The 19,340-nt window shown below is 45.5% G+C and overlaps 1 protein-coding gene across 6 annotated transcripts in view; it reads left to right on the top strand.

Moving 5' to 3' along the window:
* The window catches only part of ILRUN (inflammation and lipid regulator with UBA-like and NBR1-like domains), a 109,480-nt gene extending 91,197 nt beyond the window's left edge, over positions 1–18,283 (top strand). For 2 of the 6 annotated variants that reach the window (NM_022758.6, NM_024294.4), the window contains one exon: positions 14,971–18,283. In NM_022758.6, coding sequence (NP_073595.2) covers positions 14,971–15,006 — 36 coding nt within the window. In that variant the 3' untranslated portion in view covers positions 15,007–18,283. Of the gene's footprint in view, positions 1–3,699; positions 3,836–7,582; positions 7,759–9,622; positions 9,859–14,970 lie in introns of those variants that run through there. The other 4 variants (XR_007059333.1, XR_007059332.1, XR_926300.4 and 1 more) reach the window with 4 other exon arrangements.
* Positions 18,284–19,340: the final 1,057 nt, after the last annotated feature.

The following is a 19,340-nucleotide window of genomic DNA, read 5'->3' as shown; positions in this document are numbered from 1 at the left end:
TGCAACCTCCACCTCCCGGGCTCAAGAAATTCTCCTACCTCAGCCTCCTGAGTAGCTGGGATTACAGGTGCCCACCACCATGCCTGGCTAATGTTTTGTATTTTTAGTAGAGACAGGGTTTCACTATGTTGGCTGGGCTGGTCTCGAACTCCTGATCTCAAGTGATCCTCCTGCCTTGGCCTCCCGAAGTGCTGGGATTACAGGTGTGAACCACCACGCCCAGCCCTCCTTTTTTTTTTTTTTTTTTTTTTTGTTTTTGTTTTGGAGACGGAGTTTCGCTCTTCTTGCCCAGGCTGGAGTGCAGTGGCGCAATCTCGGCTCACTGCAACCTCTGCCTCCCGGGTTCAAGTGATTCTCCTGCCTCAGCCTCCGGAGTAGCTGGGATTACAGACATGTGCCACCACGCCCAGCTAATTTTGTATTGTTAGTAGAGATGGGGTTTCACCACGTTGGTCATGCTGGTCTGTAACTCTTGACCTCAGGTGATCCACCCGCCTCGGCCTCCCAAAGTGTTGGGATTACAGGCGTGAGCCACCGTGCCCAGCCTGACCAGTAGTTTAAATGTGGTCTAGATCAAGAGACAAATTAAGAAACCTGGTGATGTGAGTCCTCTTTCACATGGTCTAGTAGGAAAGACTTCATTCAGTAGTAATAGCATAAATGAAGGATTAGAGTCCTCTTTCACATGGTCTAGTAGGAAAGACTTCAGTAGTAATAGCATAAATGAAGGATTAATTTATTGGTTGATTAGATGTTCATTACAAAGGATTTTGTGGATTAGTGTTAATTGTATAGGATAGAAGTAAATTGGCAAGAGAGTAAATTGCCTGTATTTGAGGAAAGACGTTTCACATCTTAACACTCTAATAAATAAAATATTTTCTTCTAAGCTCCTATTTCTCTAGTATTTTTTCTTGAATTTAACCCTCCAGAGTCTGTGACTGTTCAGGGTGGTAAATGGGCCAGCCCTGGGCTAAGCATGCTTTGTTAGAATGAGAACTTCAGTCTGTTGGGTTTAATGGGAAGATGAACATTAAGGCAAAACAACCAATTGCTCCTGTGCTTTCTCTAATGGAAGCTGCCTCACCCACCTATGAGCTTTCTGGCTTGGCCATCGCTGCAGTTTTAGGAGAGGGCTGCTGTTCTTGGCCAGGGCACTGTACTTGTCTTCCTGAATTGAGAGCCCATTAATTGTTTTCCTCTCCTTTAGGGACTGATGCTTTTTAACCACCTCTGTGATGGTTGCACACAGTCATCACAGACGGTTGGGAATGGTGGGCTGGTATTTTCTGCCAGCTTTAATTAAGGTCCTACCAGGGTTTGCTTCTTTTGGAAGGGCTGGACTATGGTGAGGTTATTGACTTATTTATTGGAGTTGATGAACTAGTATTAATATGTTATCTAATTTTTTTCCTGGACTTTGTAGGATCATTTAGAAGTAGCATTTGCAAGAACTGTAGAGAAAAGCTTCCCATTAGAGATAGACTGTTGACTATAATGCGTTGAAAATGTGAAACTTAGATGCCAAAGAGAAATTGGGGTCTCCTTTTTTTCTTAATCTAAGCAGAATCTTAGAAAGCAATTTATATGAAGCATCGAGCAGGTTCCCTGAAGGCATTTCTGGCTAAAGTTGAGTCAGCTCCACTCTAGCTCTTAGGGCTCCTTAGAATAGGGTGTAGGAAGTAGTCATCAGTAAATATTCATACATCTGTGCACTGTTCAGAGCAGTGTACATCGTACATTAGGAGACTTGAGGAATAAAAGGATCCCTACCCACTAGGAGCCCGCAGTACAGTAGGGGAAATGAAACATGCACAAAGCAATTAGAGAGCAGTTCAGTCAAAATGAAGTATGAATTTGCTCAATAGAGAGCAATACAGTCCTAATATATAATTTGTGTTTTGGGTTTTGTGTTTGTGTGTATGTATTGTTTTTTTGAGATAGAGTCTCACTCTGCCACCCAGACTGGAGTGCAGTGGCACAATCACAGCTCACTGCAGCCTTGACTTCCTGGGCTCAAGCAATCCTCTATCTCAGCCTCCCGGGTAGCTGGGACCACAGGCGCCCGCCACTACGCCCGGCCAATTTTCTGCATTTTTTAGTAGAGACGGGGTTTCACCGTTTTAGCCGGGATGGTCTCGATCTCCTGACCCCGTGATCCGCCCGCCTCGGCCTCCCAAAGTGCTGGGATTACAGGCGTGAGTAAATTTTTGTATTTTTAGTACAGATAGGGTTTCACCATGTTGGCCAGGCTGGTCTCGAACTCCTGACCTCAAGTGGTCTGCCCACCTCGGCCTCCCAAAGTGCTGGGATTACAGATGTGAGCCACCGTGCCCGGCTCAGTTGCCATCTTTATTGGCTAGGGAGGAGGGGTGCCTAAGGTGCTAGTGTCAGGGATCACTGAGTTGGCAATAGATCTGATTAACTCCAGAGAGATCTCTGCTTGCCATCAAGGCTGGGAAAGAACGTGATGCTCTGGAAGCCTATGACCACAGTTTTAGTAGGCAGGTAGTTTCCTGCTGCCTCCATAGTTACAGTTTAACTTGCTAAGGTTGGTAGGATGAAGGTAATAGATTGCTTCAGGCACCTGCACTATGAGAGCTGGGTGGATATGTCAACAGAATGGCACATCTGTCAGTGCCAGGAAACAGACACCCTGGAGTCCTTCCCAGCTGTTCTTGAATCGTAAGCTCCCTGAACTCAGTGCTCCGTCCCTGGGGGGAACGCCTGCCCTAGCTGCATCCCACAACGCAAAGGGGCTTCTCCCTGTGGGAGAGCTGTCAGAAGGAGTCAGAAAAGTAAATATATGCTGACTCGCCTCAAAGATTCATAAATCTGGCTCCCTGCTTTTGTTAGAAATTGGCTTGCCTCATTGTCAGCTCAGTTGTGGCTGAACTGTCTGTCCCAGGTGAACAGTGAGATCAAGTACTGGTGAAGGCTAGAAAGTGTTTTAATGATCCCTTTTTATGTGATTAGCTGAAGAGCATCTGACGATCAAGTTAGGGTAGCATAGGTGCTCACTCCGTTGACTCAAGGCTAACCTTGCTGTGAATTCTAGCACTCTGACTCATCTCTGGGGGGCCAGAGTAGCTTCTGTTTGGACAGTGCGAAACTGATGAAAAACAATTCACAGAGATGTGGAAAGAGAAAAAAAAGTCCTGTTAAAGTTACGTATGCCTTTTTCTTATATGCCAGTAATTTTTAAAATTTCACTGTTTTCTAAGAAGGCCTTTACAGAGCAATAAGACCCCAAGTGGTCTGATTCAGGACAGCTGGGGATAAGAGTGTGGCTGGCAGAATCGAGGGGCTGTTCTTTAGGACAGCTACCTGCTTTGCTTTCTTTCACTAAAGGAGTAATGATTTACACTGGGAGCTGAAGAGGACCCCAAATTCACTTATTTTGTTACTTGAAATATGGCTCTTATATTGTGTTTGTTCTTTCTTTAAAAAAAAAAGTGTTCGAGGCTGGTATATGCCATATATTCCCACTTTAAACTGGATTACAGTCTGAGCCACTGTTATTACTTCCATCAAATGCTGGTTCAGAAGGAGAAACTTATTATTATCTTTGTGGGGAGGTTCATCCCGCTCCTCCAGAGCCATCCCTGCCAAGTGCCATCTGCTCGCGCACTCGTGCTTGCTGGCTTGCTTTTGTGCTTATTCTCTTCCCCCACCCCCACCCCTTTCCTCTCTTGACAGTCATCCTGTAGAGCATTTTGTATCTGGAGCTAGCAGGAGTCAGTCTGCTTCTGTTACATCAGAAATCAGCTCTTTTTCTCACCTGCTGCTATCTATGTTGACTAAGGCATAGAAGAGTTCTTTTCTCTCCATCCAGGTGAGGGTTTAGAAACAGTAGTTGGGGGGGCGGGTACTGGAGGAGGTTTGGAAAAGGCAGATCTTTTGTTCTATGGGCCTGGCGATGTAATGGCTTGTGGATCTATTATCTACTTTGAAATGGCCAAAAAGTTTAACATAATAATAAGGGAAGAGTTTGGGGTGACTTTGTGGAATTGGGACCAACATTTGCCCAGGCAGTTTGACCAGAAGGCAGGTAGTTGGTGTCCTCAACTGGGCTAGTGCTTATGTGAGGCATTAAGAGGGCACCAGTGTAACCTTCCCACTGCCATGAAACCCTAGAGTTGTCTTCATTCTCACATGCAGATCCTCTCCATGAAAGGTTTAAAGATGGTTCAAAGAGAAGCTAGATGGAAAATCGGTGTAACTTGGCCCTCTGGCAAGGAACAGGTAGTGAGAACACACTATTCTCATGCCAATGAAAGAACATTAATCAGAGCTGTAAAACTATCATTGATTGAGCAGTTATGCGCCAGGCACTGTGCTGAGGACTTTTTTAAATTTAATTTTTGTTATTAAAATTTATCAGTGTACGTAGTTTAAGGAACCAAATAGTTCTACCAAGCTTATGACAAAAAACTCCAGTCACCTCCCTGCTTCCCAGCCTCCAGTTTTTATTCCGCAGAGACAATAGGCTCAGTGCTTGACATGCATTACTTCATGTAGTCCACAAACAGTACCATGATAAAAGTATTGTTATTATCACTCCTTTACAGTTACTGAGACTGGTTCAGTGATTTGCCCAAGGTCATGTACCGGGGTGATAAGACCAGGATACCAACAAAAGCAGTTATTTTTGACTTCTAAGCATGCTGTGTTCTCTTAACATTGCACTGCATTGCTTCCCAATTGCAGTGTTCAAGTACACATTTTTGTTAGCTGGGCTGACATCTGTGGGCTTTCTGTAATGTACAGCTACGTTTTAAATGAGGATCAAGGCAATTGTTGACCAAATATTATGTGACTTTTCTACTATTAAACCTCTTCCCCCCACCAGCTATTGCTTTCTCTCTAGCCTCCAAGAAGGGAAAAGATTACCTAGAAACCTTCATAGTCACTTGGGTTTAGGTTTTTGTTGGCATTGACATTTTCATTAACTCACTCTTGTTATAGCAGCATCTGTACTTTTTGATGTCACACACACAAAAACCAAACCTGTCTATATTCCTTGATAGTGGCCACAAGATACAGTCTCTGGGGTCTTATTTTTCTGGGACAAATTAAAAATCTCCCTTTGAATATACTGAGTATTTTAGAATTAGAACATACGTAGGGGCTGTCCTACAGTTCCTTTAAAATCGAGTTTTGTTTCTGTAAAGCCTATCTGGAGAAAGAATATTTTAGGCAGAGGACAACCAGTACAAGCCCTGAAGTGGAAGTTTGCCTGTTGTGTTCAAGGGATAACAAGGAGGCCAGTGCCTGGAGCAGAGCCACGAGAGAGAGTAGAAGAAGATGAAGTCAGGGGACAGAGACCAGATTGTGGAGCGTTTTGCGGGCCCTTATAAAGCTTTGGGCTTTTGCTCTGAGGAAAAAGGGGAGCCTTAAAAGGTTTTCAATAGAGGGGTGATATATGTGACTTAATGCTATAAAAGGAGCACTCTAGCTCTTGGGTGGTAAATACAGGGCAAGGGTAGGAACAGGAGACCAACAGGGAAGTTAATGCCGTCATCCAGGCAAAGAGTAAGAGTGGTTCAGATCAGGTTGGTGGCAGCAGAGGTAAGAGAAGTGGTCCATGTCCGGATCTATATTGTGTAGCTAGAGCTAACAGGATTTGCTAATAGGTTGGAAGGGGATGTAAAAGAGAAGAAAGGATAACACCAGGATTCTTGGCCTGAGCCATTAGAGGGATGGAGCTACCATCAATGGATAGGGGAAAGGATGCAGTAGAAGTGGGGAGAGAACAGGGTTCCATTTTGGATATGTTGGATATTTATATAAACATCTAAATGGAGGTGTCAAGTGGGCTGTTGCATATCCAAGTTGGATATAGAGTGTAGGAGAGAAGTCTAGGTGGAGATATAAATTTGAGAGTTATGTCACATGGATGGCATCTAATGCTGTAAGACTGAATGTGATTCCCTAAATGATGAGAGGAGGTCAGGGTTTCTTAGCTGACTGATTAAGACTGTTGACATTTTGGGCCAGTTAAGTCTTTTTTTTTAAACAAGGCAAGGGTATATGTGTCTTAGGCATTGTACAGTGGTTAGCAGCATGCCTGGCCTTTTACCCACTAGATGCCAATAGTACTGCCCTCCCTCCCCACAGTGTAACAACCAGAAATGTTTCTTGACATGCCAGATGTCTCTTGGGGGGCAAAATTCCCCCACTGGTGAACCTCTGGCATAGTTAGAGGTCCAAGGGCTGAGTTTAACACTATCTGTCTAACATGTAAACCATTTCATACTATCCACAGTACCTTTACTGCTTTTATTCTTATTCTTCATTCACAACACACTTGTGATTTCGTAGTTATAATCCTCATTTGAAAAAATAATAGGGAAGTATTATAAGTAACTTACTCACATTCACACAGCAAATTGAAGGTGGGCTGCAGGCTGGAACCCAGGGATCCAGTTTGAGTCTAATGTTCTAGACCACACTACAGTGAGGTTGCTGGCAAGTGAAGTTTGTTGGCTATTCTCTGAAGGTAGTTTATGCACTTAGTGTCAGGTCGTAGAGACCTCTTCATTCATTTGTGGGAACTGCAAAAGAATGTGTGGCCGGTAAGAAGCAACACAGAGCAACCAAGGGACCTGTCCCAGTTGGCTGGCAGATTAGCACACTGTGTACCAGAAGGGACTTGCCAGGATACTCTGGGCTTAATATTTTGATGATTCTCTTTTGAAAACCCAGAAGAGCCAGTAAAGTCCTCGCAGCCTTGCTGGTGTTTACATTGGCATGAATGTTGTGTGCATTTTTTAAATAAATTAAGCAAACATAACTATGGGCCTTAGAAAATGTCTTTTGTTGTTTGTAACATTACTATCTGACTGAGAATAAAAAGTATCTCCAGGAACTTTCCTTTTTGTACCTCAGTAGCTTCAAAGCTGTCCAGCTCCATTTTATTTGCTTTGGGCTCTGAGCATTGTTTGAGGTTGTTCTGATGCTGTGCACTCTTGTGGCTGAAGCAGAGCTAATGTTCCCAAGATTGCCAGCATGTTTTATTTTGGTTATAAGGGCCCATTCTCTTCCCCATACTCTGAATTCAGCATTTTAATTTCTGATGAAAGTTCTCAAAGTAGGACTCGTGAAATTTATAGGTTCAAACAGATAAAGTATAATTCAAAAGTGTAAGAATGGCTCCTGGTATAGATGCTCAGGTTTCAAATGACTTGTTCTCAGCTAAGTCTGCTTTAATTGTATACCAGCAGGACCAGAACAAAATGTAAGGTTAAGAACTGTTGTATCTCAGGATAAATGGGAGCTTCCTTAGAGCTGGGATGTTCCCCTGCAAAGGTTTGAGGGTCTTGAACTTTTTGCTGTGATTTCACTGCCTAAGGGCCAGTTAAAGCTGTTTGCTTTACACAGTCAATAATATTGACTGATAGTATACAGTCAATAATACTGACTGATATTATTCAGTCAGTAAGTGAGGTCTCCTGGGTGCTCAGCCACTAATCCCTATCTTCAAAGCATTTACTATCTGATAACGTAGATGTGACCAATCCATAGGAAAGAATAAGAGCCAGTAAAGATGAAGTATGTTGAATTCTAGTTGACTTTTAAGTGATAATAGGAATTTGGGGACGGCCAAAGCAGTAAGACTTGGAGTAATCAAGAAATTGATCCCTTGATGGAGGATGGATTCAAACTGAATTGGAGGGAAGAAGAACCACATGCAGGAAGGCTCAGAGGCAACCACAGGCAGGGTGTGTTCACAGGACACTGGCCAGCTTGGCTGCGGTGAGTGAGGTGTGCTTAAAGAGGGTGGGGTGCATTTTGGAGGAAGACCTTTAAAAGCCAAGCAAAGGAGAGTTCACATTTAATATGAAAGGAGAGAGTGCCAGCAATGCTTTTGAGTAGGGGAGTGGCAAGACAAAACCAAATATAGCTGAAAGGAACCAAGAAGGAGAGAGACAACTTACTGTCTTCCCTTAATCCACTAGCCATTATGCAAGCTGATGCCTGTCAATTAATTGTAAGACACACAGGGGAGATGATGGCTTGTAAGGAAAGGGTAGTTGACAGAAAGTTACAGGAGCTTTAATCGAAATTCTGAGAGAAAGCTGGACCAGCAGCCTTATCCTGTGTCCTAGCAGGGTGGCTACCTGACTAGGAACTTGAATAAGCTTCTCTCATGTTGTTGTCCTCCCCAGTGAGACTGTTACTGTTCGTTCTTCCTCTTTGGAAATCTCCTCTACCCTAGGAGATGACCATGAAAGAGTTCTGTATAACAGCATCCCACTTGGATTCTAGCACACTTGCTGTTACATCAGATCTTTGGAGCTAGAATTCTGAATAACAAATAGCTTTTTTCTGAAATCTTTACTAAAAGGGGAAGTCAGATTCAGCTAGGATCCTCTACCTCCACGTAGAAACTTTGAATAATGTGTTTTCATTCACAGTTATGTTTGAGTTTTATTCTTCATGGTTTTTAAAAAATATGTAAGGGGAGTAGGGGGTGAGTGAAGGCTGTGGGAGTTGCCTTTTGGAATGGGGGACTTTGGATGGACAGGAGGATGGTTGACAGGGAGGATGTATGGAGGGAGGAGGGATGGAAGTATGGATGATAGAGGAAGGATGGAGGGATGAATGATGAAGGGTTGGATGAATGGGTGAAGGGAGGATAAATGGGTAGATGAGAAGTTCCTCAACAGGACTGTAGAGGTTAGTTAAGAGCAACAGAAAAACTATTACAGAGGCAGATACAACAAGTTGTTTTTACAGAGCTTTAAAAATACATTCAGCACACTAATAACTGAGTTAAATGTTTTGGCACAATCAGAAGGCCTGGTTGAACTGAGCTTGCCCTGTCATCAGCCCTTGAGTGTAGAAGTAGGGTTTTTTCCTATTCTTTGGCTGGTTCTCACGCTCATTCTCAGCCAGTGCATCAAATACATCTTTGAATTTTGGGAAACTGTCACATGAAAGAGACTTGAACAGGCCAAGTGCGGTGGCTCACACCTGTAATCCCAGCACTTTTGGGAGGCTGAGGTGGGTGGATCACCTGAGGTCAGGAGTTCTAGACCAGCCTGGCCAACGTGGTGAAATCCCATCTCTACTAAAAATACAAAAACTACCTGGGCATGATGGTGCCTGTAGTCCTGGCTACTTGGGAGGCTGAGGCAGGAGAATTGCTTGAACCCAGGAGGTAGAGGTTACAGTGAGTCAAGATCACGCCTCTGCAGGAGAATCGCTTGAACCCAGGAGGTGGAGGTTGCAATGAGTCGAGATCGCACCTGTGCACTCCAGCCTGGGCGACAGAGTGAGACCAATGTTAAATCATCTTACAGAAGTCCTTCTCTCATGCTGACGGGTCCTGCTGTGCCACCAGCAAGCCTCCCGGAGTAGTCAGAAGGCATTAAGGAAAGGGCGCTGGTTTGCACATTACTGAGAGAGTGCCCATTGCCCTGCTCATTACTCCAGTACAGACTTAATTTTATTTCTAGTTAATGAGAGACTAATGGGTTTGATCAGGTCCTAGTCAGTTTCTGGCCCCTGCCAGCCAGGCCAGGCCTGTGAGCAGGGCCTCACCACACAATGTTTGCAGTATAAATCAGGACAGGACTTAGTACTAAACCCTGTATTCTTCTGTGTTTGCATTCAGTGTACATAAGTGATACAAAAGGAGCACTAGGCGGAAGAAGCACTGACCAGGACTGACCCAGGAAATGAGGAAGAGGAGGGTCCTCATGGTGTTATCCGATAATGCCATCAGTATACACCAAGAGAGCATATTATTTCTCAGCCATACAACAAACTTGCTTGTCTTTTTATTAACCTGTGTGAACCTTCTTATTTATTTAAATCAAATCACAAATAAAAGCAAAATAAAGACAGGTATGTGAAAGTCCTGTGTTGTGGTAATTTATCTAAACAACAAGCTTTCGTATACAGAAAGAGTAATGCAAAAATCTCTCAATGAGACATCCTTTTTTCATTAGGAATTTCAGCCTTCTTTTTTTTCCTGGAATGTTAAAAAACGTCTGACTCACCAGTCAGTGTATTTCATAATTCATTCATTCATTTTACTGATACCTGAGTCTACTATGTGCAAGGCAGAACTAAGTATCAGGAACAGCTTCTGTCGTCATAGAAGGGCAGCCTACTCTTCTGATAGCACTGCCCTGCCTACTGATGAAAATAGGTGAATACAACTGAAATGGAATGATTGCCTGTTTTTTAGTACTTTGGCATACAGTTGATGTTTTCTATCAGTGACAGTTTTTTAGTACTCCTTTTTGGAAAGGTTATTTTGACTTCTGTATAATTTTAGAAAGGACTCTAAGATATTGCAGGTTTACCCTCACATAAGATAAGTGATAACCACATCACTGGCTAGGAATGATTCTTGCTATTTGACAGACACAACTATAAATGATTCTGTAAAACAAATCAGAGAGACAGTTATTTTTAGGTTTGCTTTGAGGACAGGATTATAAGTACTAGATCTTAAATTTTCCTTTTAGGAGATTGATAAGGATGAGACTGAGCTCATCTTTATGTCTGTAAATGTTCTCTAACAATATTTTAGGGCTGAGCACAGTGGCTCATGCCTGTAATTACAGCACTTAGCCAAAGTGGGAAGATGACTTGAGGCCAGGAGTTCAAGACCAGCCTGGGCAACATAGTGAGGACCACCCCTCCCTTACCACACCCAACAACAAAATTTTTTTTTAATTTTAGGAAATTAGCCAGATAATGGCTTGCTTGCAGTAGTTATTATTGCATTGTGGAAATGCAGTTCAGGACTTGGCCCAACTACTGTAATCAATCAGCTGGCCTAAGGCAAAAGTCTCTTCCCCAACACTGGTGAGCAGGAGGCGTTGCTGCCTTAGCTAATGACTGTGGAGCCTCTGCGCTTTAAGAAGGCTTGCCTGCTCTCTAGCCAGGTTGAACTTAGGTCCCCACGCTCATACCTATGATAGCTGGTCAGTGAAAGCTTAGGGAAAGCTGAGGCAAAACAAGCAACACCTCAGCCCCTATGGACCTGAACAGTTTCATATCCCCTAGCAGATGTGGGGCTGTTCAATGTAGCCTTTGGAAACCCATTTCTGTGTAAGTGGTGTATGCCCTGGGCAACTGGCCTTTAGACCTGGAGTCAGATACCAGAGTTTTTTTCTGGGTTTGAGTATTTATACCCTCCGTTAGCATGGATAAATCAGTCTTGCTGCTAGTCCCTATGTGATAGGACATGATTATTCCTAGAGAGGAGTGGCTTTCTGCATCAAGCTCACTGGGTTTTATAATCAGGATGATGGCTTCAATTTTTGCTTGGGTCCGAGTTGAATTCAGGGTTCTGTGGTACCATCTAATGCATATGCCCCTTTATCTGTTTTCCTTATTAGTAGTGGTACAAGTGTAAGAGAAGATATTTCATTGATTCCAGGTTAGCTAAAATATTTGGCATCTGTTTTTACTACAGATAAAAGTTGAAGAGTTGCTAGGCCCCAGAAGAGAGTGAATGTTATCTGTATTGCCAAATCCTACTTTTAGGCTGGGATTGTCGTTGGCTACCAGAACCTGTTACACCAGGTCTTAGAACTCCAGTGGAATCTGAAATGTGGATGGGCCTCCCGGTTTGAAAGTACCTCCATCCAGAAGGTACCGCGATGGTCTTCCTGCTTGGCCTACTGCCATAGGACTCCCCAGACAAGCTGTTCTTGGAATCTCTGCCAGGCTTTTCCTCTACAACTGGTGTTATGTTGCCTGTGTTCTGTGATCCACATGAGACACCTATGATACTGTGTGTGGGGGAGTCTAGATCGTAAAATAGCTTCCAAATAGAGTTGGTGCCCTCTCTCTTCCTTGAAGTGATGGTAATTAATTTGGGGGTAAGAAAAATAGAGCTTGTTCATCAAACTATTTTTCTGTTCCAATTAAACAACAACAACTCTAATATATAGTTCACTGGGTGAAAGAGAATTAGGTAGCTATTTTTCTTCATAAAAGGCATGGAACATCAGTAAATAGAGGATCAACAATAACCATAATCTAAACTAGTTAAATGCCACACTGAATGGTCTGAAGGCCAGGGCACTCAAAGGAAATCTGAAAATGCACACGTCTTTATTCCTGTTTCTTCCAATTGAATAGAACCTGCTTTATTTATCCGTTAAGTGGGAATATACAACAGCTTTTTGACAAAGTCATAAACTTCCTTCTTCAAGTATTCTAGACAAATCATAAAGCCAGTGGTTGCTTTATAAAGGCCCACATGAAGTGTGTAGAGCTTTGGACTGGAAAGCAGTTAAATTTAGGGTAAAGGGGTAAATATTTCATAGGAAGCAAATGCTGTTTGTTTTTTGAGTTTTCTTTTTTCTTTATTAAATTTATTATTTTTTCCCTAACCCTCAGAACCTGTGACTTTGTTTTAAGAGAGAAGGTCTTACTCTGTCTCGCAGGCTGAAGTACAGTGGCACAATCATAGCTCACTGCAGCCTCGACCTCCTGGGCTCAAGTGATCCTCTGGCCTCAGCCTCCTGAGTATCTGGGACTACAGCCATGCGTCGCCATGTCCAACTAATTAAAAAAAAATTTGCGCGTGGAGATGGAGTCACACTGTGTTACCCATACTGATCTCCTAACTCCTCACCTCAAGCAGTTCTCCCGCCTGGGCCTCCCAAAGTGCTGGGATTATAGACATAAGCGACCGTACCTAGCAAGGTTTTCTTTTTGCTGTGCATTTTTTTTTCCTGCACAGAGACCTTTGAGCATTGTATTGGTTCTAAACCTTAAGGGAATTAAAGTTTTTGTTGCTTTCCTTGGGTAGTTCTAGATGAATGATTGTTGTTGGGAACTGCTGAGTCAGGGCAGCTTGTTTTAAGCTGCTTTACGTTCTATTAGGTTGGTGTAAAAGTTAACTGCATTTTTTGCCATTAAAAGTAATGGCAAAGGCCAGGCGCAGTGGCTCATGCCTGTAATCCCAGCACTTGACTCTGTCTTGAAAAAAATAAAAATAAAAAATAAAAATAAAAATAATGGCAAAAACTGCAATTACTTTTGCGTGAACTTGATACCTCTGATGTATGGGACCCCCCCTACCAGGACTTGCAAAATGGAATCTGAGAGCCCTTTGCTGCCCCAGTGCACACTTGCTTGAGTGGGTGGATGCTGTGGCTGCTGAGATGGTTCATAGCTCGTCTGCTAGAGGCGTGGTTGGCTCGGGCTGACAGCCATGTGGCATTTTGGCAAATGCCAGTTGCTTCCCTCACCAGTGCTGCTCCCTTAATCAGGTTGCCTCACCTGTCTGAGCTTGGAGACCATGCTTGTCTCCTTGGATCTTTGTGAGGGCTAAAGAGAACATGTTAGGTGCTACTGCAGCACCTGGCACGTAGTGGATGCCCCATTGGTATTGGCCTGTCCATTCCCCAAATCATCTCCTGAGGATTTTTTGTTTAGTTTAGTGATACGACCAAGCAGCTAGAGATGTCCTTCTGGTTTTGGGAGGCTTTATATGGAAAAACAAAAAGCAGGGATTGGGGAGGAAGCACACGTCATGGTCCAGCGTGTTCGTGGTTTGTGTAGCTGCTTTTGATGTTGGCACATCTTGGTGTGTCTTTCTTATAAGGGGAAGCAAGACTGTGAAGCTTCTTCCACTCAGCCAAGCAGCATAGAAAGTGCCTTTGGCAAGTTGGAATAAACCTTATCATGTGGCAAGGGAGAGCTAGCGTGGGAAGAAGGAATACTGCAGTCCATCAAATTTGGATTTGAATCTTGGCTCTGCCTCTTACCACGTGATTTTTTTAAAAAGCTTGAGACAGGATTGGCCAGGCGCGGTGGCTCACACCTGTAATCCCAGCACTTTGGGAAGCCGAGACAGGCGGATCACGAGGTCAGGAGATCGAGACCATCCTGGCTAACATGATGAAACCCCGTCTCTACTAAAATTAGCCAGGCGTGTTGGCGGGCGCCTGTAGTGCCAGCTACTTGGGAGGCTGAGGCAGGAGAATGGCGTGAACCTGGTAGGCGGAGCTCGCAGTGAACTGAGATTGTGCCACTGCACTGCAGCCTGGGCGACAGAGGGAAACTCCATCTCCAAAAAAAAAAAAAAAAATTGAGACAGGATTTCGCTCTGTTGCCCAGCCTGGAGTGGTGCAGTGGCGTAATCAGGACTTATTGCAGCTTCGACCTTCCAGGTTCAAGTGATCGTCCCACTTCAGCCTCCCAAGTAGCTGGGATCATAGACGTGTGCCACCATGCCTGGCTAATTTTTTAAAAAAATTTTTATAGGGGTGGGTTCTGACTATGTTGTCCAGGCTAGTCTCGAGCTCCTGGGGTCAAGTGATCCTCCTTCCTTGGCCTTATGGGGTCCTGGGATTACAGGCGTGAGCCACCACACTTGGCCTAACCAGGTGACCTTGAACAAGTCTTATTCTCTGCAGTAAAATGGGTGTCAGTGAAATAGGTGTTATAATACTCACCTGGCTTTTAGGGAAGAGGTGAGAATTAAAGGCAATGTAGGATAAGCCCCTAGTACTGTGCCTGGGACCTAGGTGCTAAGTAAATAGTTGCTATTTCTGTGTTTTTGCTGATATATGTGTTGTTAGCTAGCAGTAGCCTTACATCTGAAGTTAAGGTGCATAGAATGGCATATAAGGATCTTTAGCAGAGTGGTTGAGACATTTTTGTCAAGAAGGAAATAGGAAAGCTTTGTGACCTGGGTGGAGGAAGGTTGGCATTGACTGATCTACCATCTGAAAGATGGGGGAGTTATCTCTACCCTCCCCTCTCTTTGGATGATGTGAGAAATCTTTGGATTCAGTGAGAAACTTAGCAACTTGAAATGTACTGATCTTTGGCCTGCCGAGGTTTTGTATGGCAAAGACCCTCAGGCCTTGTCTGTGGATTGGGGCTTCCTTGTGACTCACTGGGAACCATAGATCTTGCACTTGGTTTGGTTGTCAAGTTGCACTGCTATGTGTACCATCACTGACTATCTTCACTCTCTTCCAGGGGCTCCATGGGCCTTACCCCTTCGGCCAGTCTTAAACGGGTGTCAGCAAGAAGAAAAATTAACAAAAGACAGAAGGCCTGACTTTGGGGGGTTAGGGCAAGGGGTTCCTCTGGATTGCAGACCACATCGCACAGACCCCTGGCTCTGACCCCCTCTCATCCCGGAAGAAGAGGAAGAAGCAGAACAGACTAGTTTTGAGTAAACTCAGTATGCATGTGTGAATGCTGAATCACAGGAATGGTGTTGAGGCTACCAAGAAGAAATCCATGCAGCCACTTTGGGTTTTGTTATAGGCATCAGTCTAACAAGTCATTAGGTCACTCGGGAAGGGGGAAAAAGTTTAAAATGGGGGAAAAAAAGCCATCTTTTTAAACAAAAATTATTTTGCCTACAGAAAGGTTGTAGTTTTGAGCACATGTTAATTTTTTTCCCTCTTTCCCCACTTTTATTTTTTTAAATAAGGGATAACATATTCTTTATAGAATAGTGCTTGTTCTGGAAGAGATTCAGGTGAAAAGTTGGCGTGGCATGTTTGAGGACTCTGCGGATCAGTGCTACAGGAGTACATCTGCCCTGCCACATGACTCCAGAAGTCTCTGACCCCATTTGTTTTTAATGGCATCAGCCAATGAGTTATCACCCTTTTCCTCCTCTTTTCTCTTTAATCTTCTGTTGATTTACACCTTTGACATTTGTATTCGTCAACCCTGTGGCTTGTTAGCATCAGAACCTCTCTGAAGACCAAACTTCCCTGTGTGGCCAGCAGAGGAAGCCTTGAGGATAGATCTCGGGTGACGTGGGATTTTCTAAGCCTGAGAGGTGTCCTTCTGCACACCCTTGTAACAATTAAAATTGCTTTTCTTCCATGTTTCTCTTGGCAGAGAGAAATGCCATCATGCTTACTGCTCTTTTGGATTCTTCATGCAGTGGCTTCCCATTTGCTCTGGGAACAGTGCCTCTGTGCTGGTTATATGTATGCACCACATGTGCACACACGGGTGTTGGTGCAACTCACCAGCAGGTGTGCAGTAGGCAAGCTTGAAGGTGGCCCATGCTTCTCTGTTGTCACACAACACCTTTCCCTGTTTCTCTTCAGTTGTCCTCTGATATTTTCACAGCCTGTTAGTGGCGGCTGATCTGTAGAGGTATGAAAATACAGCCCCAAAGGGGGAATTTGTCATGGGGAAGGGCCAGCCACTGACTACTTGATCTTGGAGACCACATTTAGATGGAAATGAGAGGACCTCCACAGCCCCGCCTCCCTGCCAGGATGCTAGATTATTGGCTGGGAGGTGGGCAAGTGGCAGCCCAGCTGAAGCAAGAGGCTGATTGACTGGCTGCTCACTCAGGCAGGTGGCCTGCCCTGGCATCCTGTAGATTCTGAGCAGGTTGAGATGTGGATATCTCCATGGGAAGCTTGAACCAGGCTAGAACAGCTGTCTGCCAAAGATACAAGAATATGCAAAGTCCCTCTTACCCCCCTCCTTCCCTCAAGTCTTAGTTGGTTTGAGAGCCAGGGATATGGATCCAGGGTGCTGTTGCAGGGTCACCTGCCTGTTACCACACCCCCATCCAGCTGGGTGGTGGGTGAGGGTGTGAGACAGGCAGGGAGACCAGGTAATGAGTGGCTGCAAGGAGTCATATAGCCTGGGTGTGGGTGAGGGTCTGCCTGCCTGTTTCTGTCTGGGTGTCTGAGTTCCAAAAAATGTGTGTTGTTTGTTCCTCCTCATCCTCTTCTGAGACTGTTGTTTTTTTAGAGCTTGATTGTGGGAGAAAAGCTTGTGTGAAATTCCCTCTTCACCTCCCCACCCCCCAAAAAATAAAAGGGGGCATAAACTTTATTCCACTGGAGAAGCCCTGGGGGTGGCTGGAGCCAGCCTGCTGAGAAGCGTGGTGCAGCTGGGTCTGGGACTTCACTAGAGCTTACTCTGGAGCACCTATTTTCTGTGCACATGGGAGTGCTCCACTCCCTAGCAGAGCAGAGGGAAGTCTCTGCCAGGTACCCACGCCACAGGCCTCAGGATGGCTTTTTGTCTGAGGGCCTCATTAGGCCCAGACTGCTGCTGCTGGTACCAGTCTCCTGAGACACTGCCTCCCTGGAGCCCATGCATGCCCAGCTGTTCTTACTGCTTAGTAGCCTTGAAGCAGCACATCTCCACTGTCCCTGGCAGGATTGTGGGAGGCTTCACAACCCCTGCTTTCCTGACTTCCTCTTCTGCCCAACACTGGGTGCCCCTTCCCAGTTTCCCAGCAGGGGCTTCATGGGCCACCGTCAGTGGGTCTGGGCCTGCCAGAGTCGTCTTGCTCTTCCTCTTGCTTCTAGGCAACCACACTTGGCAAGTTAAATGTCCCAAGCACCTTGTCTCCCTTCCCAAGAACAAACCATTTCTGTGCACATCCTTGGAGGCGAGATGAGCTCCTTGCAGAGGGCCAGAGTAAGTGCAAGTCATGGAGTGCAGGCAGAGGGGTCCATGGCTTCCCCAGCCCAGGGAGGGTATCAGTATCATTCATTCTCTCTCCCCTCACTGGTATGGGTTCAGAGCAATGCCTAGGGCCCCTCTCTGCTCCCCTGCCTAGTGGGGTGGTAGTGGCTACCTCTCAGCCCCAATAGTCCCTGCTCCTCTTAGAATCTTCACCAAGTGGCAGGCCACCTCTGGGCAGGACCACCTGCGTCTGGCACCCAGGAGGTGAGGCAGACACCATGGTTAGGTGATAGGGTCTGAACCCAGTTGGGGAGACAGAGGGGTTCAGACTTGGGAAGAATCTGTCAGTGTGCATGGAGTGAGGTGTGTGTGTGTGGATGGATGTGCACGTGTGCATGCTTTTTTTCTTTTTGCCGTGAGGACAGTTGAATTTGGGGCATTTTTCTACAAGAAGCAGTCAGCCTTCTCTCCCCCATAAGGACTGGCTGTAACCTTAAGCCCATCAAAGTTACTTCCAGCCTGGAGAGAACCTCACCAAACAGCTGGTGTGGCCTGAGGGTGGCCATGGTGGGAAATGGGCATGAGAATAAATACCTCCCCAAATTCAATCTGAGCCCAGCAGGAGAGGATGGTAGGGTTGCCAGGGCTCAGAAGTGCAAGCTGATTACTCACCCCACCCTGCCTCGCCGCACCTTTCCTTTGTTTCCTTGGGTGAATGCAGGAGCAGCAGTGGCTGCCCTTCCCACCTGGACAGTGGTGTGTGTAGAAAGCCAGCTGGATGTTTGTGGTGGGGCCTCATGGTGCCTAGGAGGAGATAAAGATGAGGAGGTTTTTCCTTATTGTATAAATGAATATTTGTATGATTAAATTAACACACACACCAAAAAAAGCTGTTTTCATGTGTGTTGGTGAGTTTTATTGCACCCTCAAGCCTCCTGTAAACTTGTGTGGCCCCATAATGGCTCTGTGATGTGTACTGTTTGGTCTCTGGGCCTTTCCCTTTTGCAGATGGGAAAACTGAGACCCTGAGGTTCATTATATGTTTGGGAAATTAGTCCTGGGTTTATAATGGGGTCTCCTGCCCTTTCTGGTGCCCAGTGACCAGGAAGGTAAGGAAACTGCCTCCAAATGACCTGTATCTCCAGCACAAAGAAAATCAGCCAAGTTAGCTGATCAGCCAGCAAGCATTGTTTGGTTCCCTGCCCCCAAGGGCCTGCATGCAAGACTCTTCTTTCTCAGGGAGCAGCCTGATACAGAGCCCAGAGTGAAAGAGCCTGGGAGACTGGCCCACAGACCCCTGGGGTGAGTGCCCTCACCCGTGACAGTGTACCTGCATCGTGCTTCTTTCCAGGTGCCCACAGCTGTTTGTTCTCTGCAGGGGAGCCCACCCCCCACTTCACCTGGGTCTTCTTCTGGCAGCTTCAGACCCACTCCTAGGCCTTCCCCAACACCCCCACTGCTGAACAGTTATTTGCTTGGCAGAATCTGTTTGTCTTTGGGGCTGTAACCTGTCAAGGAGTCACCAGGCCCTGGGAGAAAGGAGCTAGTTTGATGGTAGCTCCTGGCCTGAGCCATTCCCACGGGGGCTGGGTGACAGGGAGGGGGCTCTCAGCTGAGTTTGGGAGATGGCAGGGAAGCAATTGCAGTGGTCTGGGCCCAACCCTTCTGGCAGAGCAAACAGGCACTCTCAAGTCTCCTCTGTGCCTCAGCTCAGGTTGTGTCTGGGTGCTTCCCACCCTGTTCCTGAGAAGGCCTCTCCCTCAGGCCCTTCTCACGCAGGTTCCTGAGAAGGCCACCTGCTTGCTGTGACCCAACCATTTCCCCGACATCACCTGGTGCCCAGCCCTGTCTGATTGCCAAGAGAACAGGCACTGAGGGCACTCATGGCAGCCCCAGATTTTGGAAATGGGGAAGGAACAGGCAAGACTGCTTAGAGATAGGAAAGA

This window comes from Homo sapiens, chromosome 6 (assembly GCF_000001405.40).
Source record: "Homo sapiens chromosome 6, GRCh38.p14 Primary Assembly".
NCBI lineage: Eukaryota > Metazoa > Chordata > Mammalia > Primates > Hominidae > Homo > Homo sapiens.
Note: the sequence above shows the minus strand (reverse complement) of the source record. Positions and strands in the feature narration are given on the sequence as shown.